Source organism: Homo sapiens, chromosome 3, assembly GCF_000001405.40.
Source record: "Homo sapiens chromosome 3, GRCh38.p14 Primary Assembly".
In the NCBI taxonomy this organism is placed as follows: domain Eukaryota; kingdom Metazoa; phylum Chordata; class Mammalia; order Primates; family Hominidae; genus Homo; species Homo sapiens.
In genome coordinates this window covers 183530677-183554301 of record NC_000003.12, presented here as the reverse complement: position 1 = coordinate 183554301, position 23625 = coordinate 183530677, and the positions used below count along the sequence as shown (strand labels likewise).

The 23625-nt window shown below is 45.8% G+C and overlaps 1 protein-coding gene and 1 long non-coding RNA gene across 3 annotated transcripts in view, besides 4 other annotated features; one reads left to right on the top strand and one right to left on the bottom strand.

The window, feature by feature from the left end:
- Positions 1–23625, top strand: part of KLHL6 (kelch like family member 6) — a 68156-nt gene that overhangs the window by 1405 nt on the left and 43126 nt on the right. The gene's annotated exons all lie outside the window — the stretch shown is intronic.
- Positions 1567–1736: a silencer, noted in NCBI's record as "silent region_14941". NCBI's record gives its function as "represses an Ori minimal core promoter by ATAC-STARR-seq in GM12878 lymphoblastoid cells {active_cell/tissue: GM12878}" and the evidence as "EXISTENCE:reporter gene assay evidence [ECO:0000049][PMID:35858748]".
- Positions 1976–5567, bottom strand: KLHL6-AS1 (KLHL6 antisense RNA 1). The gene is made up of 2 exons (NR_046687.1): positions 5339–5567; positions 1976–2249 (listed from the first exon to the last, which is right to left on the bottom strand). It is a non-coding gene; the product is annotated as a KLHL6 antisense RNA 1 (long non-coding RNA).
- Positions 13214–13323: an enhancer, noted in NCBI's record as "active region_20894". NCBI's record gives its function as "activates an Ori minimal core promoter by ATAC-STARR-seq in GM12878 lymphoblastoid cells {active_cell/tissue: GM12878}" and the evidence as "EXISTENCE:reporter gene assay evidence [ECO:0000049][PMID:35858748]".
- Positions 20367–20446: an enhancer, noted in NCBI's record as "active region_20893". NCBI's record gives its function as "activates an Ori minimal core promoter by ATAC-STARR-seq in GM12878 lymphoblastoid cells {active_cell/tissue: GM12878}" and the evidence as "EXISTENCE:reporter gene assay evidence [ECO:0000049][PMID:35858748]".
- Positions 21146–21405: an enhancer, noted in NCBI's record as "active region_20892". NCBI's record gives its function as "activates an Ori minimal core promoter by ATAC-STARR-seq in GM12878 lymphoblastoid cells {active_cell/tissue: GM12878}" and the evidence as "EXISTENCE:reporter gene assay evidence [ECO:0000049][PMID:35858748]".

The following is a 23625-nucleotide window of genomic DNA, read 5'->3' as shown; positions in this document are numbered from 1 at the left end:
TTTCTGATTCTGCTTGATTCAGCTAAGGATGACTTATTGAGTGTTTCCCATGAGCACGTCCCTGGGGTAGGAATTTTATAGCGCTGGGAACCCAGTGAATACACCTGATCCAGTGTTCTCCATATCAGCATGGACATGGGGGAACCAGCCTGCAAGGGCAATGTGGATAATGAAGAAAGTATTTGGGAACTTGAAAAGAAATACCCTTAGAATTCTTCTTAATGAGATTCTTCTTAACTCTTGATTCTGGCTGAGGAAATTGAAAACGATTAACCTATGAAAGTATTATGGAAAGCGTTTTCTTTCTTTCTTTTTTTTTTTTTTGAGGTGCTTGGGGGGAAACGTTTCTTTGTAATTCATAGAGCAGGATCAGCAGGTTGCTGTGGGACTCATTAGGTCTCCTGTGTTGATAAGACAAGGGGATATCTGGGTTTGAGGGAAGCAGTGGCTGCTGTGTGCCAGACAGACATAGTTATCTGATTTTATTTTTGTAACAGCATGATGAAGGTGGCTGATATTTCACAGATGAGGAAATGAAAACTCAGCATTATATATCTGGTCATTGCTGGAGCAGGGACTGGGTATGTTCTGGAAATCCTTGTTACTGCAATGCAAGCTGCCACTAGGTCTGGGACTTCATTCCATGGGAAGTGTGTAAAATATAAAGTGTAAACACAGCCATCAAAATGGGTTGATATAAACACATTACTTTCTCCACCAACCTTGATCACGTGCTTTCACGTTGACTGCAGCCCCTCTCAGGAGTGAGTGAAGTCAAGTTAGCTCAATGCCCTGGGGACGCACATTTAGGTTGATCCTTTTGTATCCCTTGCTATCATAAAATGCATACCTGGAAGCAGTTTTGTTAGCGGGTTGGCCTGGCTGTGGACCAGGCCCGCTGGCTGTGTGCCCTCGAGTTGATCACTGGTCTTCTCTGGTTCTTGGGTTTCTCATCCTAAATGGGAATTTGGGCTTGGGTCCTTCCAGCCCTGCTGATCCAGGATACTTAGGGAAAGTCTCTGCCGGTCGTCAGAGGAGGCAACGGCAATGAGAAGCTGGAGAACATGAGGGTGAAGGCATCTGACTGTGTATACAGAGCCTCTCCCAAAACTGCCTGGTCATGAGAGGAAATTCCTTCAATTCTTCTCTTCAGAGAAGTGACTTTTGCTTCTTCTCTTGGGATTTTCAACGTGACTTTCCTTCTACAATGAATACTGTCCTGGAGACAGGATTCTTTCTTCCGGTGCTACTATTCCTATCAACTCCTGTTTGTGGAGCGCTTACTGTGGGCCAGGCCCTGTAGCTTCTGTATCACATACTCTAGTCCACTCCACCCTCACAACAACCTGACAAGGCAGGGAGTCCTATCCCCAGCCTACCGACGGTGAGCCAAAGTCCAGAGTGTCACAGCAAATAAAAAGTAGCCAAGCTGGGATTTAGACCTAGGACTGACGTTAAATCTGACACACTCTCTCGCTTTGTGTCTGAGGTTTTGAAAGGGGTTCTTCGTATGCTCAGGTTTAGGGAGGTCAAAGAGTCTCTCTGTCTGAGAGGCTTTCTTTTTTTTTTTTTTTTTTTTTTTTTGAGACGGAGTCTCGCTCTGTCGCCCAGGCTGGAGTGCAGTGGCACAATCTCTGCTCACTGCAAACTCCGCCTCCAGGGTTCAGGCCATTCTCCTGCCTCAGCCCCCTGAGTAGCTGGGACTACAGGCACCTGCCACCACGCCCGGCTAATTTTTTGTATTTTTAGTAGAGACGGGGTTTCACTGTGTTAGCCAGGATGGTCTCCATCTCCTGACCTCGAGATCCACCCGCCTCGGCCTCCCAAAGTGCTGGGATTACAGGCGTGAGCCACCGCGCCCGACCAGTCTGTGAGGCTTTCAACACAGCTCTCTGTGTTTTGGAGGGCCTGGAAGCTGGTTATAAAATTATGTCATTTTTTTCCTTTATTCACTGAGAAAATAATTACTTTCCACTAAGGGACTGACAATAGTTTATTAAACAGTCCCCTACGGACAGACATCTGGACTATTTCTAATCCACATTTTGCTATTACAAACAATGTTGTAATGAATAACCTGAAACATGAGTTTTTTTCATATGCATTTCTTGAAGGGGGTTTGCTGAGTCAAATGCATCTGCAGTCTTAGCGGTTATTGCAACTTCTCTTTCATTGGGGTTGAATCATGTTGCGTTCCCCCACGGCATCACCAAAAGAGGGTGTCATCCAACCGCTGAAGTTTTACCAATCTGATAAATGAGAAAGAATATCTCAATTTAGCTTTAATTTGCATTTTTCTTATTTTTAGTAAGATCAAACATCTCTTCGTATGTTTAAGGGGCATCTGCAGTTCTTTTTTTGTTGAACTGTCTCTTCACTGCCTTTCTGTTTTTCATGTATTTTTTTAAAATTAAATTTTATTTTTTATTAAAGATATGCAAATAGTAAACAAAGCGTTAAATAGTATTTAAAGGCTTATAATGAAAAAACAAAAATTCCTATTTCCTCCTCCACCCTGTCTCATGCGCCAAAGGCTACCACTTTCAACTTCTATTTGTTTCTTCTGGCACTAGCTCTATATTTCTGCAAAATACACTTATACTGCTCTTTCTTGATTTTTCAGTGTTAGACATCATTCACTGATTTCAAATAAGGATTTAGTATCCTTACCTAACCTCTTACCATAAGCTTTCCTTCCCTGTAATCTTTCAACATAATGTTATCACAACAAGAGTTTACATTATTATGTTCACGAAAACCTTGTTCTCTGTTGAGCCAAATTACTCAATGATCACGTTTCTTTTCTTGTAAACCTTTTGTCTTTCCTGAAGTTATTAATTCACTCATTTTTTCATTTGCTTTGTTTTGGGGTGTCTTTTGCTCACAGGCTCACAAAAATCTTTCATATGGTCCAATGCATCAAACAATCTACCAGTTCCATTTCCTCAGAATCCTCCTGCCTTGCATCATGTTACACATGTTCCCTGGATTTGCACGCTGGCTGGGATTCACCTGCTTCTCCATCATTCCCCGGGACTGTCTGCTATGTTGAATGGAGCCTTCTCCCTTCAACCCCTATCTTTCTCTTCCCTGGTTTACCATCTTACCCTGATAAGCACATTCTCCAATAACTTCCTAAGAAAGAGTGCATGGGAAGTAATTTTTTTTTTTTTTTTTTTCTGAGACAGAGTCTTGCTCTGTCGCCCAGGCTGGAGTGCAGTGGCAGTATCTCCGCTCATTGCAAGCTCCGCCTCCTGGGTTCATGCCATTCTCCTGCCTCAGCCTCCCTAGTGGCTGGGACTACAGGCGCCCGCCACCACGCCCAGCTAATTTTTTTTTATTTTTAGTACAGACAGGATTTCACCATGTTAGCCAGGATAGTTTCAATCTCCTGACCTCGTGATCCACCCACCTTGGCCTCCCAAAGTGCTGGGATTACAGGCGTGAGCCACTGCGCCCAGCCCATAGGAAGTAAATTTTTAAGGCCTCGCATATATTTTTGTTTTGTTTTGAGACAGGGTCTTGGTCTGTTGCCCAGGCTGGAGTGCAGCAGCTTGATCATGGCTCACTGCAGCCTCCCTGGGCTCAAGCAATTCTTCCACCTCAGCCCCCCAAGTAGCTGGGACCACAGGATGTACCACCATGCCCGGCTAATTTTTGTATTTTTTTAGTAGAGATAGGGTTTCACCATGTTGGCCAGGCTGGTCTGGAACTCCTGACCTCAGGTGATCCACCCACCTCCGCCTCCCAAATTGCTGGGATTACAGCTGTGAGCCACCCACCACGCCTGGCCTTTCTTTGATTTTAAATAACATTTTGATATTTCACAATGATGTGCCTTGGAGGGGTGTGTGTGTGCGTGCGTGTGTGTGTGTGTATGTGTGTTTTACTCCAACCATTATGCTATGCATTTGATGAACCCTTTTAATCTGGAGAGTCACATCCTTTAATCCTGAACATTTCCTCATATTACTGCCTGGTAATTACATGGTTACTGTTTTCCTTGTTTACTATTTCTGGATCACTTATTCAGTAGATGTGGACTTCTAGAACAGTCTCTAGCTTTCTCATCTTCTCTCTCCTGTTGTCCATCCTCTTATCTTTCTGTTTTACTTTCTGGAAGATTTTTCTCAATTTTATCTTCCAACCTGTTGAGAATCTCAGTTTTTAACTTCCAAGACTTTTTTCTTGTTTTATGTATGAAGCTTCCTTTTTATAACATCCTGTTCTTGTTTTGTATAGGTCATATTTTCACTTAATCTCTTTGAGGTTTATATTTTTTAAAAAACCACTCTTCTGTTTTTGTTTGTTTTTTACTGTTTGTTTTCACTGTATTTTTCTCTTTGTTTTTGTCTCTTTTATTCTATTTTATGTATGTATTTATTTATTTCCTAGAGACAAGGTCTCCCTATGTTGCCCAGATAGTTTCAAACTCCTGGGCTCAAGGGATCCTCCTGACCCGGCCTCCCAAAGTGCTAGGATTACAAGCATGAGCCACCACACCTGGCCTCTGTCTTTTATTTTAGAGGCTATACTTAAATATCTGGTAGTCTTTGGATATCTGTTCCTATTTAAGAGTCAAGCACTAACATGGTGAAACCCCATCTCTACTAAAAATACAAAAAATTAGCTGGGCGTGGTGGCACATGCCTGTAGTCCCAGCTACTCGGGAGGCTGAAGCAGGAGAATTGCTTGAATCTGGGAGGCGGAGGTTGCAGTGAGCCAAGATCATGCCACTGCACTCCAGCCGGGGCAACAGAGCAAGACTCAGGTGTCCCGACCTGACGAGTGCCATTCAAGTTGGATTTAGCCATGAAATAAGTTACAAAAAACTTTACATTTATCAGCACTTTGGGAATTTTGAAACTACAGATAAGGGATTATAGATATATAATGCTGAAATATTTACTATCATATTGGTTCTGATCCACAATATTGGAAAATATTAAAAGTGGAAAATATAGGGCCTGACCCTGGTGTTACAATCATTGGCTTCACTTGAGTTCTCAAGTGTACCCACTGTGGCAGCAGCAATCCTCAACACATTTGCTGTTAGCCAGATTTTTAATACAGACCTACATGGCCTTAACTCATTCTTGTTTTTCTTGGCACTTATTCTCTTTTTTAAAATTTGTTTAAATTTTACTTTAAGTTCTGGGATACATGTGCAGAATGCGCGGGTTTGTTACATAGGTATACACGTGCCATGGTGGTTTGCTGCACCTATCAACCCATCATCTAGGTTTTAGGCCCTGAATGCATTAAGTATTTTTCCTAATGCTCTCCCTCCCCTTGTCCCCCACCCGCCGACAGGCCACGGGTTGTGTTGTTCCCCTACCTGTGTCCATGTGTTCTCATTGTTCAACTCCCACTTATGAGTGAGAACATGCGGTGTTTGGTTTTCTGTTGCTGTGTTAGTTTGCTGAGAATGATGGTTTCCAGCTTCATCCATGTCCCTGCAAAGGACATGAACTCATTCCTTTTTATGGCTGCACAGTATTCCATGGTGTATATGTTCTTGGCACTTATTCTATCACCTGGGCTTTCTGACTCTTTTCTGACATCTTACCCCATTATGGAGACAAAGCTCAGGATTACAACATCTACATGTGGCTTAAGAGTAGTCTCTTGCCCCACTTTTCTGCCATGCAGTAATTGGTTAATATGTAATAATGATTAACAAGTGCATAGATTGTGCTCACAATAACCTTCCCATTCCTGGCCTTATGCCTGATTTTTGTAGCTGGCGGGTAAAGTCCTCTCAACATAGCCTCAAGGAACCAGACCTAGAGACTGCGGTACAAGACAGGAGTGAGACAGGAATCCAGACAAGGATTCCAGGCAGCAGCATCAACAAAGGAGATTGCTAATGACTCAGCCTCAGCCTGGAAGCTTTTCTATGCATGAAGGAAGGGCCAGTCATGAGACAGGGCAGAGAAAAGCCTGATAACCCCTCCCCTCATCACTAGGACTCCCCTCCCTCTGCCAACCCTGGGAATCACAGCAGGGCTGCCCTCACAGGTCACTGTCACTTACAGAGTGTGCCATATTTTGCAGTGAGCTGGGCTTCCCAAATGGTGAGAACCAGTTTCTGGTTCTAGCCACAGTGAGGTCCCATATATTTTCAGAGCGCACTGTCTTTTCACCTTGCACACCCTGACCCTGCTTCCTTGTCTCTTTTTTAACCCTTTGATCCAGACTGATGTCCTAAGGCATGCTGGGTCCTTGCTGCTATGGGGGTCTGTCAGCTCAGCCCCCAGACATAAACTGGAATGAATGTTCCAACAGTATCCTGCCTGTGCATGTGTGTATGAGCACAAGGAGGCTCTGATTTTTACATTTCCTCCTCATTTTCAGCTTATGTAGCCTACACTAGCAAAAGAGTCTTGGGGAGCTGAGGGGTCATAGGAAATGACCTGTTAGCCACATTTCTGTTCTCTGTGAAGAGGCCTGTTTTCAGTTTAGACATCATGGGGAAACCACTCTTCCCATCAAAGTGAGCTCCCCCAAGGATGAAATGGACACCATGCTATCTACTTGATATTATGAAGACTGAATGAAATAAAAAGAATCCAGCAAAGTGCCTGAAAAAATGTAGGCCGTCCATATTCCAAACTGGGAAAAAATGCTTAATGCAAAGATTACCACGTCACGTATAAAAACAAAATACTGGAAGCAACCTAAATGTCCACAGTGAGAGAATGATTTTCATATTATGCCTCTGTTGAAATTGGTAGCAATATAATAAATAGTCATTATGAAAAGCATGGAGCACCGTAGGAAAAATATTATAATGAAAACAGGGGGCAAAGCAAGATGCAAAATTGCATGTAAACTATGGAAAGATATGCATGTGAGAAAAGGTAGACAAATAACACCAAAATGAAAACTGTTAACATTATCAGAAAGCCCCATAATCCCTTACCCAAAAATCTGGGAGCCAGATGTGCTTTGCCATTCAGAATTCTTTGGATATTAGCATATCTTAAATGTTATATAGCACCTCCAGCGCTCTTTAGTCTAATGCATTAGTACTTCAGCAGTGAGTATACAAATAGTTGTCCTAAGTGGAATAAATAAAGACTCTGAGGTCGGGTGCAGTGGCTTACTCCTGTAATCCCAGCACTTTGGGAGGCTGAAGCTGGTGGATCACCTGAGGTCAAGAGTTCAAGACCAGCCTGGCCAACATGGTGAAACACCGTCTCTACTAAAAAATATAAAAATTAGCCAGGCACGGTGGCGTGTGCCTGTAGTCCCAGCTACTCAGGAGGCTGAGGCCGGAGAATCGATTGAACCCGGACGGCGGAGGTTGCAGAGAGCTGCGATCATGCCACTGCATTCCAACCTGGACGACAGAGTGAGAGATTCCGTCAAAAAAAAAAAAAAAAAAGACTTATGGCACTGGGGTTTCAGTCCGGACTCGCCACTTGTTGGCTGTGTAAATCTTGGAGGAATTGCTTGGCTCCTCTGAGGCTCAACGCCGATGTCTACAATAGAGCGAGGCTAACAATTTACGTCTACCGATCCCAGCAAGTTGTGAAACGCGAATAGTAAAATGGATTCATTTATTAATTTATTTGCCCCAACACTTTATGCGTGGTAATAAGTCAGATTTCTTGGTTCTGAGAAACAGAAATCAACTCTGGCTTATTCGAGAAGAGGAATTTATGTAAATGATAGTAGGAACTCATAAAATCCCCAAAGAAGTTTGGAGAACCAAACCCAGAAGACAAACAGGTGCAAGGGAGGCTAGACAGGGGCCAGGACCGCAGCCCGAAGCCACCCAGGACTCCTGTGGGGAGGACTTCCCTGCTGCTGTACAATGCTGGGGCCACAGCTGCACAGCTGCAGCCACTGGCACTGCTGTCAGGGCTGTCTCTGGAAGCTGGAGGCTGCTGCTGCTTGTCCTGCCTCCACCCAAGCAGGCTTTCCTCCGACTGGGCTTGTTGATATCAACGGCTTCCAATTCAAAACTATTTGCTAGGCCTGCAATATATGCAGAATAGATGTTAAAGTATCATGAAAACTACACAGTTATGAGGGGATTCCGTGACCCTTGTCACATAGGCATCAGAGATATGGATCCTGAGACCCAAATATGCAAGAAGGTAATTATTAGCACGTTCACTCCTCTGCTCCCTGCAAAACTGTGAGGAGCCCTGGATACACTTGTAGGGATGTGTGGCATGAAGGCATCATCCATCATGGGTGGACTAAAAGCAGGTTGAAAATGCAAGCCATGTGAAGGCAGTGACCACCTTATTCTTCTCCTCGATGCCATTGCAATGGCTGACACTCAGCAGACATCCTGTAAATGCGTGAAGTGAACGAACGCTTGGATCTTCCTCCTGCAGGTCCAGTCACTGATTAAGTAGCATCCTGGCCAGAGCAGGAAGTCCTCACAGAGTTGTGTGGGAAGCTATTGGGCAACTTTAGAAAAGGGAAAGATGATAAAATGTGGCTATCACAGGAAAAATGGGAAGGAACAGTTCCAAAATCCAAAATGCCTCAGAATATTATGGATTGAACCGGTCGCTCATGTGACCACCTGCATACAGATGTGCCATGCATACAATGTGACTCTTGCAGTTCTTTTGTTTTTTTGCACTGGGAGTGGGGAGAGGGGTTCTGCACCAGGGCAGAAGTGCCATTAGGTCCTTTGATTTTTCAAGGAAGTGTCATCTCTGTCACCCCTACCCATGATGTCTAAACTGAAAACAGGCCTCTTCATAGAGAGATCCACAGCATGTGGATATTATTCCAATCAAGATTAGAAAATCTATTCTTCAATTTTAGATAATCTTCCATGCAGCTCCCAACTAAAACACAACAGAGAAATATTTTCATCATTCATAGCTCAAGTTGTGAGCTTTATCCCTGCATCAAACCCATGGATATGCAACTGTCCCTCCATGAAAATGTTTTTTCAGGACAAGGGTCTAACATGGTAAGCACCAAACAGTCCACGAAAAGAGCTGGCCACATGCAGAGCCTTTGTGTTTTTGGTAAAACTGCCATGAGCGCAACATCCATTTGCGCTGCCTCATATTCCTTTATTGGTGAGCATTTTTTGGTTTCGAGGGATAGGAAATCAAGTCAATCAGCTTAGGCAAAGAGAAAGGTATTTGGTCACATTATCAAATCATAGGAAGGGCTGGGATGCAGCAGAGCCCAGGGAGAAGAGGAACCAGGCCCTTTCGTGCAGCCTGCGTGCTCTTTCTCCACCCCTCACTTGGCTTCTCTCAGGTTGGGTTTCTCAGGCTGACTTCTGCCACACGGTTGGGAGTTTGCCTATTGGCTGCTATGAGACTCCTAGCCTTGGCTCTGGAGGGAAAATGAGGGACTTTCTCTACCTGTGGCTTGAAAAACCCCTGGGAAAGACTCTGATTGGCTCAGCCCCATTCAGTTACCCAATCCTAGGCCAATCACTGTGCCAGGGAGGTGGGGCACAATGATCAGCCCAGCCTAGGTTAGGAGTCCACCCTTGGCTAAAGAGCTGTGCGTGTGTGTGTGTGTGTGTGTGTGTGTGTGTGTGTGTGTGTGTGTGTGTGTTTGAGAGACAGAGAGAGAGACAGAAGATAGAAAGGCGGAGAGGCCTGTAATGACGTGAGAGCTCCCGCCTGAATCACATGATTTGAGTGGGGCCTGGATGGGGAGAAGAGCATTTCCCGATATGGAGAGATGCTGGACAAAAGGAAAAATAAAGTCCGCTAAAGAGGGGTAACAAACACTGCTTTACTTTCTTATTAGCCAATTTGTCGCACTTTTGCCTTTGCTGTGACTGTCAGGAAGCTCTGTGGATTAACTTTCCTGAGCCTTGGTTTCAGAGACATATTCTCCTTCGACTTTAATTTCTTAATTCTTGTGTTCTTATTTTTATTGTTACTGTTTTGTGTTTTATGATCCCTCTGCTTCTTTTGTAAAAGCCTTCTTAAATGCTTTTGGTGAGGCCATCTCCACGTAAAGATAAGTCTCCTTTGCTGTGAAAAAGTATCACTTAGGCAACCTACATGTCCTCTGCTAGCTGTAAAGGTTAGCATTCTTTTACTGTATTTAACTTCTATGGAAAACGTTAAGGCCACCATAATTACAAGAGTGCTGATACTGCTATGGCTTTTTTTTTTTTTTTTTTTTTTTTGAGACTGAGTTTCGCTCTTGTCGCCCAGGCTGGAGTGCGATGGCCTGATCTCAGCTCACGGCAAACTCTACCTCCCAGGTTCAAGCGATTCTTCTGCCTCAGCCGCCCGAGTAGCTGGGACTACAGGCGTGTGCCACTATGCCCGGCTAATTTTGTATTTTTAGTAGAGATGGGGTTTCACCATGTTGGCCAGGCTGGTCTTGAACTCCTGATCTCAGGTGATCCGCCTGCCTCGGCCTCCCAAAGTGCTGGGATTACAGGCGTGAGCCACCACACCCGGCCTGGTGCTACGGCTTTAAAACACAATCAAACCAAAACTAACAGGTTGCATCATAGCCCTTTCTGAAGAGATGCTCTGGGATCTACAATAAATAATAGACACTCAGCAGGTTTGCATATAATGATTCAGGTCCAGGGTCCAGTAAGACCTTATTGGATTGAAAAGATCATGTGTCTTGTAGAGTAAGCTCAGGTTTATGGAGGGCTGAGTATCAAGGGCCTTTTGGTGTTGGGGGAATTTTGGGAGAGGTGGAGGCCCAGTGGATAACTCCTGGAAGGTGGAATTTTATTGTATTATTGTGTATAGCGAACGCAACACAAAAAAATAGGACAGAAGAGAACAGAGATTAGGGAAAGTTAGGAAAGTGTCAGGTGACTAGCAGTGTCTTTAAAACTCAGGATAGCAGGCTGGGTTGGCAGACGATGTCTGTCTCATTAGCAGGTGGGCCTGGAAATGGAGGGGGAGAGAATTCTTAGTAACTGCTATGAAAATCCTCACTCCTCCCATGCTCCTCCAGTGTACCACCGATGATTAGCAGGCCTTCAGTTAAGGAGCACTGCATAGTATTATCTCTCTCTCTCTCTTTTTTTTTTTTTTGAAATGGAGTTTCGCTCTGTCGCCCAGGCTGGAGTGCAGTGGTGCGATCTCAGCTCACTGCAACCTCCATCTTCTAGGTTCAAGCTATTCTCCTGCCTCAGCCTCCAGAGTAGCTGGGATTACAGGTCAACACAACAAGATAGTTTTTGTATTATTAGTAGAGATGGGGTTTCGCCATGTTGGCCAGGCTGGTCTTGAACTCCTGACCTCAGGTGATCTGCCCGCCTCAGCCTCCCAAAGTGCTGGGATTACAGGCTTGAGCCACCTCACCCAGCCAGTATTATCTCTCTTAATGTGCAAATACCTGGAGGGGAAGGAATGCAAAATGTTAAACTTTCAGAACTACAGTGCTGAGTGGACTTAGTGAATTTCCATCCATCTGTCCATCCATCCATCCATCCATCCATCCATCCATCCATCCATCCATCCATGTATCCATCCATTTGACACAAATTTATTAAGTGCCTACTCTGTGGCAGGCACAGAGTTTACAAAGATGAATAAATTATGGTTCCTGCTTGACCTGGAAATCATCATCTAGTTAGGACAGAGAGATAAGTAAATTGATGTTTACTGTACAGGGTGATAAGTGCTATGATGCAGCTCTGCACAGGGGTTATGGTGGAGCTGGGGACAGGGGCTGTGAGAGGTTTGCTACATGGGAGCTATAGGAGCTTACAGAAGGGCATTAAATCAGACGGAAGAAAGAGCAGTCTGAGAAGGCTTCCTGGCAGAGGTGATATCTGAACGGAGTTTTGAAGGATGAGTAGGCATTGGCCAGAAGGGGCCAGAGGGGAGAAAGGAGAAGAGAGGAGCATTCCAGGCAAAGAGAAGCACATCCGGGAAGGTGCCACGCAGTGTAACCACAGGTAGAAGAGTAGGTTGAAATAAAGGACATGCACAGGCCAATAAGGCTGAGAGACAGGCATGGTCAGACCGGGAAAGGTTTTGTTGGGTGAAGCTGTGGAGTTTGAAACATGACTTACAGATAGTGGGAAGCCGTGGAAGAGTCTTTAAGTAGGAAAGAGATGTGATCCAAGATCTCCCTTAAAATAATCCTTTGCACTGTGGGTATGGAGGGTCCCATCAATCTAGGCAGACCCTTAGGTAAGTTGCAAGAAATTTCAGTGAGAGGAGATGAGGGTTGGAATTAAGGTATAGGCAGTGTGGTTGGGGAGAAGGCCTCCAGCAACATTCACATCCTCTCTGAGGGCCTGCAGGGCAGCCGGACCACAGAGAGCATGAGGGAGAGGCAGCGCTGCCCAGCAGGGAAGGGTAGGGGGAAGTGAGGTTAGGAGGGCTGGAACACAAAGCAAACTGACTCCACTCTTTGCTGAGGACCAGCTCTGAGCCTCAAGATTGGAAAGAGAAAGAGAAAGTGGTCTGACCTTATCAACCCTTCTCCTGCCCAGGCTATCCCGTTTTAGAGCAAAGCTCATAAACAAAACATCTCAAGTTCTGGACTTGCAATTCTTGAACACCTTGGAGATAGAGCCACAGCTATTATTAAAATATGTTCCCCTCTCTTATCCACATCTCTGATAGAGACCACTGCTGGCTTTTAGGGTGCCTTCCTTTGGTTTTTTTGTTTGTTTGTTTTTGTTGTTTTGTGTTTTTTAGAGGCTTGCTATGTTGCCCAGGCTGGACTTGAACTCGTGGCCCCAAGTGAGCCTCCTGCCTTGGCCTCCCAAGTAGCTGGGACTACAAGCATGTGCCACCACACTCAGCCCCTTCCTCTGAATGTAAATAAGTTACCTGGGAGGACCAGTTAGAAATGGGGGCCCCTTTCTGGGGGTTGCAATCCACGTTAGTGCACAAGGCTTGGCAGGTGTAGGGGGCGCTGGATTTTAGCTCAAGTCAAGCCTGGCCTGTGCACTCCTGCGTGTAGCCCAACTGTGGCAGCTCCTCCTTCACGTCTAGATTCATAACTGCTCCCCATCCCCAGCTGGAGGAGCTCCTGTCTTCTGTCCCTTTCCCTCTGGATTCTGTATCATGAAAGCCCAAGGGACAGGCCTGGCAGTCCAGATTCCTCTGTGGCAGCTGGCGGAGGGAGCAGCCTAGAACGCACATAGGATCATCTTTGCCTGTCACAAGGGATACCTTTTATGACTGGAGGAGCCTTAGCATTTGAATACCTTGGGGTAAAGACTGGGGCCAGTGCCAGCTTGCAAGTTTCTAAGTGGTTAGAACCAGGGAAGGCTCAGAAAAAATCTTTAAGCAGAGGCTGATCCCTAACTTCTGGACAATGACATGGTCACAGGGAAGCCACAGAGTCCTGGAGGTGGGAGTGGAAAGTGGAAAAAGAGGGTCATGTGGAGCCTCCGGGCAATAGCCTGGTCGGGATGTGGTGGTGGACGGCGAGCGCAAATGCGGACCCTGCTCCAGGCCCAGAGGGGAAGTGAGAATCTGAGCCGACCTCGTTGGTTTGTGAGGGAAGTGGGGTTTTGTTAGGGGAAGCCAGGTTTCATCTTCAGGAAGGAGGTGGAAGATGTGTAAAAACAAAAGCAGACAAAGGTAAAGAATAATCACCATGTTTTGTAAGTTAAACTCTCAGGTAGGAGAGCTTAGGGTAATCATCAATGGGGCCGGGTGTGGTGGCGTGTGCCTGCAGTCTCAGCTACTTCGGAGGCTGAGGTGGGAGGATTGCTTGAGGCCAGGAGATTGAGGCCAGCCTGGGCAACAGAGAGATCTTGTCTCAAAACAAACCAACAAGCAAACAAACAAACAAAAACGGGCCTGGAGTTCCAATTCAGAGAATCGCTGGGATTTCTTTTGTCCAATTGTATCACTCCGCCCTGCGAGTGACAGACATTCAGCTCAAACTGGTCCAAGCATAAAGGGGAAAAAATAATTTATTTGCTCATGGAATTAAAAAAAGTCTGGGGTAATGGTTTCAGGTATAGTTGGGTCCTTGTGCCCAAAGTAATGTTACCATGACTCAGTTTCTCTCTCCTTCTTAGTCCCGCTTTCCTCTGTGTGGGTTTCTCTCTCAGGGAATGTATTCACACATGAGGACAAGCAGGTAGCCAGCATCTCCAAACTTTCATGTCCACCAGCTCAGCAATTCTAGTGGGAAGAGACAGCTTCTCTTTCTCAGTAATTCCAAAGAAAGTTCTGGAATTGGCTCCAATTGAATTGGCTTCTTCCTATTCCCATCCCTGAACCAATCATTGTGGCTTGGGCTTGGACGGTGGGGTGTTTCCCAACGGAAGATCTGAGTACTCCTGCTAAAAGAGACAGGAGTAAGTTGGGCAGACAAAACAAAAACTGTCCATTGTATCTTTGTGACTGTATCGTCACTAAAGCCTGACCACAAGTATATGTTGTAATTGATGTTCTTTCTTGTCTGATCTTGCAGACAGAACAAGTCCTTCTTTCTGTCATAAACTTGGATGGCAGAATTTCATGGCAAGCTGAGGCATCAGCAATGGTCTGGTGGGACTTGGAGGGATTCTGCTTCCCTAGGAACATGGCCAGAGTTTTCTTCTCCACAGGGGCCGTGGGCAGTGTCCTTGAGGAGTGGTGAACTAGGGCAAGAAGCTTGGCAGAAGGGAGTTGTTTTTTTGTTTTTTTTTTTTGAGATGGAGTCTCACACTGTCACCCAGGCTGGAGTGCAGTAGTGCGACCTTGTCTCACTGCAACCTCTGCCTCCCGGGTTCAAGCAATTCTCCTGCCTCAGCCTCCCGAGAAGCTGAGATTACAGGCACCCGCCACCACACCGAGCTAATTTTTTGTATTTTTAGTAGAAATGGGGTTTCACTGTGTTGGCCAGGCTGGTCTTGAACTCCTGACCTCGAGATCTGCCAGCCTCGGCATCCCAAAGTGCTGGGATTATAGGCATGGGCCACCGTGCCTGGCCCACAGAAGGGAGTTATTCTGAGGCCTGCTGATGCTTAGAGTCAGATCGGGGCAGCTGTAGGCTTCCAGCTCCTCTGTCAGTTTGGAGCAAAGCTGGCAAACGGAATGGGATTGCCACCTGATTCGGGAGGCAGCCATAGGCCTCATGGAATTCTAGGAAGGCTGTGTCTTAGAAGATGAAAGGAAGGATCCATAGTGAGGGAGGACTTTCCGAAACATATCTTCCCTAGCACTATGGCCAATTGTTTCCATGACCTTGATCTTCATTCAGTCTCCTTCTCAGGAGGAAGTAGGGGTGACCTCTTTCTAGGGCAGAGGTTCTCAAAGTTTGCTTTGCAAAGGAATTATGAGTCGGAGCCAGGGACACCTAATTAAATACATACCTCCAGCCCTACTGCTAGAGATTTGGCTTTAGTAAGTCTAAGGTAGGTGGGGTACAGGATTCTGTATTCTGAATAAGCAACCCAAGGTTCTGATGCAGCTGGTTCAGGGAACACATTTTGAGATCCACCTCTTGAGGCTGGAGTATCTGAGGCCAAGGATGTAAGCAGGACTCCAGTATTGAGACAGGATCCATATGATAAAACTTAGGGGACAGCTTGAGCTCAGAAACAGGGCAGAGCTGAATGTTTAAGTGCTTCCCTTGGTTAGTATTGGCTCAGGTTTTGGTGCCTTGAACTAAGAAGTGCTGGGGACCATAGAGAGAGATGCCATGTCATGCTAGGTCACACTTGCATCTGCTGACTCCCTGCTTTCTTTGCAATGGAACCCCCTTTGATTGACTTCATTGTGTTTATATCCAATAATCCTTTCTTAACAATAGTGTTCATTGTGTAGTACATGCTGACTAGTTTAAAAAACTTTTAAACTGATTGTATACATATGGACATTGTATTCTTAAGTAGAATTTAACTCATTTTGCAACTGATGTTAAAGCCACCGCCACACAGAATATCTCAGTGAAACAGGGGAGTTCGTTCCTGGTATAAACGGGGAATGGTGAAGAAATAAGAGGAAGGACAGAACAGGGGGCAGACAGGTGGAGCCGGTGTAGGAGTGAGATAGTGGGAGTGATAGGTGTGGGTATTTGTTTATAGGGTTAGAATTAGGGTTACAGGAGGCAGGGAGTTCAGAGGTGTGGAGTTCTAGGGAAGGGGTCAGCTATAATGGAGTCGGGCTGGGTGAAATATTCTGAGTTGGTGAAGTTTAGGAACTACAGGAGCTTGTAGAGCTCATTGAAGTAGTGCAGGTACGTTGAATGTTCGAGTGTCCTCTTCAAGCTCTAGGCCCTGGACTCGGGAGTGTGATAGGAGTTCCCTAGTGGCGGTGGAGGGCCTCATCCTCCAGATATATTTGATAATTCTTGGAGGTACAGATTCCTGTCAAAAGCAAGTGCAAAGGGACTAGGAAGGACAAGTTGGTTGATTCATTCATTCACTCACTTTCCCTAGGGACCGTCCCTACTTGGTGGTGGCACTGCTCTGGCCCCTAGATACAGTGCTGAGCATGGCACACCCTCACTCAGCTGGCATTCTAGTGGGGTGACAATAATTAACAAATAGATAGGTAATCTAATTTCAGGATGTGCAGAGCTATGAAGAAAAATAAAGGAAGCGAAGAGGTGAGGGAGTGGCGATTTTAGATTAGGGGGAGTGTCGGGGAGAGCCTCTCTGAGAAGGCGATGTTTGGCAGAGACCTGAGGTGAGGAAGCCTGGTGGAGAATGGAGAGGCGTGTGGCCAGGCAGTGTTTGTGGCATGGCCTGACTTCATGCTGGGAGATTCTTGGGCCTGTGGATATTTTCATGACTGTTGTGGGAGACAAGCTTGCTGGGTCAGGCTCTATTTTGGGGTGGGCACTGACTCACCGCCCAAGTGTTGGGCAACTGGTATGCTGCTGTGAGATTGTTTCTGCTGTAAAATGAGGATCTTCCTAGCTACCTCTGTTTTACAACAATCTCATGAGAATTGGTCAGTGTCTTTCTAGAAAGTGTTTTTATTACACAATATCTTGCATGTATGCCACAGGATAAGTTGTCAGCAACCAACTCAGCTGTGTTCTCAGAGAGCAAAGTTTGGGCTGGTCCATTGAGCGCTGACACTGAGTTGATCCCCCGCAAAAGGCCTTGAACTCCTGCTGATTTTCTTGGTTTTCGTGCACTGCTGAGCTCCTGATTCAGAGCCTGAAGCCCTAGGTTCTGATTCCTACTCTATTGCTGACAACCCATGGGGACCAAGCTTTGTCTGAGTGTGTCCATGGATCTCCCAGAGGAGCAGCAGGAGGCCTGGGAGTATAGTCTATGAGGAATATGCAGATTTCCCCTTAGTTTCATCTTACCCATGTTCAGCATGGTGGCCATGGCCAGGGTAGTGTATTTAAGTGGCAGAAAATTCATGAAAATATTTCAAAGGGAGCAGAGAAATGCTGGGCCTTGGGGAGTCAAAGCTGGTTAAAAAGACCCCTGGAGAGAAGGACACTGTCTTGAGGGCACTTTCTTTCTCTCCCACGAACTGAGCTGAGATGTTTAGGCCGATTCGTGCACAGCGCTGGCCCTATGCTTGCTCTGGATGCATGGTCGACAGCAATGCAGCAAGTCAGACACGCAGTTACCTGATACGCACCCGGCCAAATGCTGAAGAGATAAGGGTTGTGAGTCAGTGTGGTGCTTGGTCCACTTACCCCTAAGTGTCTCCTACCAACCTTCCAAGATTCCTCTGATTTGGTCCAAAATACTTTCCCTGATTGAGTGCTGACGAGGTGCCAGGTATCGTGCTAACGCCTTGGTGTACTTCATCTTGCTTATTCTTCTGTGCAGCTCACTGAGGTGGGGACTATTATACCATTTTACAGATGAGGAAGCTGAGGTTCACTCACTTGCACTAAGTCACACAATGAGTGAGCATCAGAGGTCAGACTAGACACCAGTCCCTCCTCTGCCTGCCAACAGCCAGGTGGCTGCTCTTTTTCCCCTGCCCTCCCCAGGCTCCCGGAAGTCCCTTGGCTTGTGCACATGCAAACTCACACATACACAAAGCCAGATGTGCTGGAGAATTTACCTACTCCTGGATGGCCTGTAACCAAAGACAGTCAGTGTGGTCAGAGAGTATCACGGCCCTTGCCTCCTGGTGGGACAATTCAGAAGTGTCTTTTCCAGAGGTCCCTGCAGGATCAGGCTGAAGCCACTTTTTGCATGACTTTTGTCTTGCTGGGCTTCCTCCCCCCCTTGTCTTGCCCCCCTGTTCCCTTACGTCACTAGCAGAGGGGGTCTGCTTGCAGGGAATCCAGATGCCCGGTCAGACATGGGCTGAGCTGGGGCAGCATGTTATTAAGTGACTGTGATTCCAAACAAGAATTTGGGGCCAGGCACAGTGGCTGACACCTGTAATCCCAGCACTTTGGGAGCCCGAGGGGGGCAGATCATGAGGTCAGGAGATCGAGACCATCCTGGCTAACGTGGTGAAACCCCATCTCTACTAAAAATACAAAAATTAGCCATGCGTGGTGGCGGGCGCCTGTAGCCCTAGCTACTCAGGAGGCTGAGGCAGGAGAATGGCATGAACCCGGGAGGCAGAGCTTGCAGTGAGCAGAGATTGTGCCACTGCACTCCAGCCTGGGCGACAGAGCGAGACTCGTCTCAAAAAGAATTCGGAAGCCGTGGCTAGCAGTGACAGCCCAATTAAGAGTCCAGATGACCCTAGAGAGCCCAATAATATGTCACATGGGAAACACATTGACTTCATTTAGGAGCTCCTTGGAGTGCAAAGCATTAACTTAAACCATTGGAACATCCCTCCTTTAGACTTGATTATACAGATTCAACCAAATTAACCTCTCACTAATCTTCAAGTCACAGTCCGGGTGAAATAACATTTCTAAATGTCATGTTGGTGGGTCTCTAGAGATGTGTTGCCTCAGTTATATGAAGCTTATTTGACCCCATAATTAGTGCCCACCCTGTCCTGCTGAACTTCCTGTTTCCCATATATTTATTTATATGACATTCACGAGGGTGAAATTTGCTTTGCCTCCTGAGATGACTGTAGGTCTGGGTGACCCCAACACCTGAGTTCAGGACTGATGGCAAGAGCTGCACTGTCTAATATGGTAGCTACTAGCCACATGTGGCTGTTGGGCATTTGAATTGTGCCTACTCTGCACTGAGATGCTTTAAGTATAAAATACGCATAAGGCTGGGCACGTTGGCTCACGCCTGTAATCCCAGCACTTTGGGAGGCTGAGGCGGGCAGATCACAAGGTCAGGAGTTTGAGACCAGCCTGACCAACATAGTAAAACCCCGTCTCTACTAAAAATACAAAAATTAGCCAGGCGTGGTGGCATGAGCCTGTAGTCCCAGCTACTCAAGAGGCTGAGGCAGGAGAATCGCTTGAATCCGGGAGGCTGAGGCTGCAGTGAGCCGATATTGTGCCACTGCACTCCAGCCTGGGCAACAGAGAGAGACTCTGTCTCAAAAAAAAAAAATATATATATATATATATGTATATATATGCATACATATATACATACATACATACATATATACATATATACATACATATATATGATGGTCTTTGAAGACACAGTATGAGAAAAAGAATGTAAGTTATCGCATTAGTCATTTTAAAATATTTCTTACGTGTTGAAATGATATTTCAGGTATATTTTGGGTTAAATAAGATATGTTATTAAAGTTGACTTTTATTTTTTTCTTTTTACTTTTTAAAAATGGGGCCGGGCATGGTGGGGCTCATGCCTGTAATCCCTCACTTTGGGAGACCGAGGTGGGTGGATCGCCTGAGCCCAGGAGTTTGAGACCAGCCTGGGCAACATGGTGAAACCCCATTTCTACAAACATTGCAAAATTAGCCAGACATGGTGGTTCATGCCTCTAGTCCGAGCCACTTGGGAGGCTGAGACAGGAGGATCACTTGAGCCCTGGAGATGGAGACTGAAATGAGCTGTGGTCGTGCCGCTGCACTCCAGCCTGGGCAACAGAGTGAGACTCTGTCTCAAAAAACAAACAAACAAACAAAAAATGTGGTGACTAGAAACTGTAAAATGCTATAGATGACTCACATTACATTTCTATTGGGCAGCCTTGCTCTGGACACTCCAACAAAGGGAGGCTTAGAGAGTGATCTTCCAACTCCTCCAGGGAAGATATGCTGAGCTGAGAAGAAATCATAGGCTGTCTCTGAGAGCAGATTCTTTATAAAATCAGGAGGCAGCGAGGCAAGCCCTATATGACATTACTTTTAAAGTAATGTCTTTTAAAGTACTTTTAAAGTACTTTAAAAGTACAAAGTACTTTAAAAGTAAAGTACTTTTAAAGTACTTTAAAAGTAAAGTACTTTTAAAGGCTGGTGATTACGGTTCTGCAGACAGCTCTGTGCTGCTGGTCAAGAGGGTTTGTGGCTGAGGAAACTGGTCTGTAAATTGGTCACCTGCTCTGATATCATCACGGCTCCCCCAGCTCTGGGCGGGGATTTCTTCACTTTACAGAGGCCCCGGAATTCACCTTCGTTCTTTCTTTCTTATTACCATATTCTTGTGAGGAGAAAGAGGCCAGCTGAGGGAAAAGAGAAGAGGGGAGGGAAGGAAAGGTTAGGAGGGTTACCATTGATTAAAACAACAAGGACAGAGGGGGAAGGACGGAGGCGGAAGGACAGAGGGGGGACGATCACCTTGACTAAAACAAAAGGTCCAAAAAGTCAGCAAGTCAAGTGTCTAGTGATTTTCTGTATCTCTGTCTCTCTCTCGTTCTCTCTCTGGAAGTCTTTTGACTTTTGAATGTTTCTGGGAAGCCATAAACAGTTACCTTTGTTTTGCAGATTAGGAAAAGGGGTAAAGAAATGGATGAGTGGCCAGGCACGGAGGCTCATGCCTGTAATCTTGGCACTTTGGGAAGCTGAGGAAGGAGGATCTCTTGAGCCCCAGAGTTCACCACCAGCCTGGGCAACAGAGTGGGACCTTGTCTCTACAAAAATTAAAAAAAAAAAAAGTTGGGTGTGGGTGCCTATAGTCCTAGCTACTGGGGAGCCTGAGGGAAGAGGGTCACTTGAGGCCAGGAAAAGAAGGAAGAGAAAGAAAGGAAGAAAGGAAGAAACAAAGAAAAAGAGAGAAAGAAAGAAGAAAGAAAGAGGGAAGGAAGGAAGGAAGGAAAGAAGGAAGGAAGGAAAGAACTGATGATTGATTTCCAGAGATAAATAGGAAGTGTGGGATAGAGAGGAGGGGCAGGACTTAGAGGTGTAATCCCCTCCGTGTTGAGATGGAAGTCCGAGCGTTTGGAATTACATCACCAGAGCTCCACCCAGGGCCTTTGCATTTCAGTGACTTGGCTGGGAGATAACGGCTCCCTAACCTGTTCATGTGTCTGTAGCTTAGAAAGTCCAGTGACTAATGTTTGGAGATGTTCCCTAGCGGTGTGGCTACTGCCTCAATTAGTACATTTTCTGAGAAAAGGCTTTGACATTGTCACAAGCCTCCCAGCTCTTTATGGGTTCATCTGATACTTGACTCTAGTGGCACCCATCACCTGCAAACAAAAGTGAGAACACATGTGCTTAAAATGTTCTCTTTGAGTCCTGCCTTTGCTCATCAACCTTCAACGGCTCACCATTGCTCACTGAGTGAAAACCTAACTCCCTATCCTGCCTTCAGTGCCCTCCACAAGCAGGATCCAGGTTATCTTTCCAGACCATTGTTTCATCCCTCTCCTGTCCCCTGAGCTTCAACTGAATCACATGTCTGCTAGTTTCTCTTCATGCCTCATGCCCTTGCATCTTTATGGCTTTACTCACTGTGCTTGTTACCTAGAAATCCTATCCATAATCTTCACATTTCAGAATTTTCCTTCTCTATGAGTAGCCATTCTTGGCCTCCACAGCACTTTGTAGGTCTCTTATGGCCCCTCGTAGACTGTTATTTGGGCATCAATGCCCTTGCTAGTTTGTGAACTACAAGGGTCTGGGGTGGATACAGACTGCCAGTATTAGTCAGCTTGGGCTGCCATAACAAAATACTATGGACTATGTGGCTTAAACAACAGAAATGTTTATTTCCTCACACTTCTATAGAGTCTGGAAGTCTAGCATCAAGTTGCTAGCATGATCTGGTTTCTGGTGAGGGCTCCCTTCCTGGCTTGCAGACGGCCACCTTCTCACTGTGTCCTCACATGGCCTTTCCTCGGTGCGTGAGCAGGAGTGGTGAGGTGGGTGTGGAATCTCTCTTTCTGTTCTTATAAGGACACGAATCCTATCAAATTGAGATCCACCCTTATGATCTCATTTCACTTTAATTACTTCCTAAAAATCTTATCTCCTAATACATTCACATTAGGGGTTAGGGTTTCAACATATGAATTTTGTGGGGGACACAATTCAATCCATGACATTCCATACTTGGCCCCCAAATTCGTGTCCTTCTTATATGCAAAATACATTCATTATATCCCAACAGCTTCCCAAGTCTTAATTTATTCCGGCATCAACTCTGAAGTCCAGATTATGGTCTGAATATCATCTAAATCACATATGGGTGAGACTTTATGTATAATTCATCCTAAAGCAAAATTCCTCACCAGCTGTGAACCTGTGGAACAAGACAAGATGTATGCTTCCAAAATACAATAATGGGACAAGTGTGGGATAGACATTCCCATTCCAAAAGGGAGAAATATGAAAGATGGGGCTGGGCACGGTGGCTCACGCCTGTAATCCCAGCACTTTGGGAGGCAGAGGCGGGCAGATCACAAGGTCAGGAGATTGAGACCATCCTGGCTAACATGGTGAAACCCCGTCTCTACTAAAAATACAAAAAATTAGCCAGGCGTGGTGGCAGGAGCCTGTAGTTCCAGCTACTTGGGAGGCTGGAGGAGAATGGCGTGAACCCGGGAGGTGGAGTTTGCAGTGAGCCAAGATTGTGCCACTGCACTCCAGCCTGGGAGACAGAGTGAGACTCCATCTCAAAAAAAAAAAAAAAAAAAAAAAACACAGACAAAAAAAGAACAGAAAGAAGGAAGAAGTGATGTGTCCCAAGAAAGTCCAAAATCTAGTGAGATAAATTCCATTAGATTTCAAGGCTTCAGAATAATCCTTTTTGGTTTGATTGTCTTCCCTTCTGGCCCACTGAGGTGGCAGTGTCACCTCCATGGCTGGAGGTGTGAGTCCTCCCAACAACCCCTCCCCCGACTCCCAGGTGTCTGATGGAGGCTGTCTGGCTTCTTGAACCGAGGCAGTGGTCCTGATTATCTCTGAATCACCCTTAGGGTAATTTTTCCCTCTTCTGGAAGAATAGTGAGGGCTGGGTGCAGTGTCTCACGCCTGTAATCCCAGTACTTTGGGAGGCCGAGGTAGGTGGATCACCTGACGTCAGGAGTTTGAGACCAGCCTGGCCAACATGGCGAAACCCCCCATCTCTACTAAAAATACAAAAATTAGCCAGGCGTGGTGGCGAGTGCCTATAATCCCAGCTACTCCAGAGGCTAAGGCAGGAGAATCACTTGAACTTGGGAGGCAGAGGTTGCAGTGAGCCGAGATGGCACCACTGTACTCCAGCCTAGGTGACAGAGTGAGACTCTGTCTCAAAAAAAAAAAAAAAAAAATGCATGTTCACAGCTGAGTACCTCATTGTTTTTTACCGTCAAATCCAAGAAGTCTGACAGCCTTCCTTCAATTGTCTTGTCTCTTCCCCTTCAGTTCAAACTGGCAGTGTTTCTTTCTGTTCCTATAATTCCATAAGCATTTTATTAAATGATA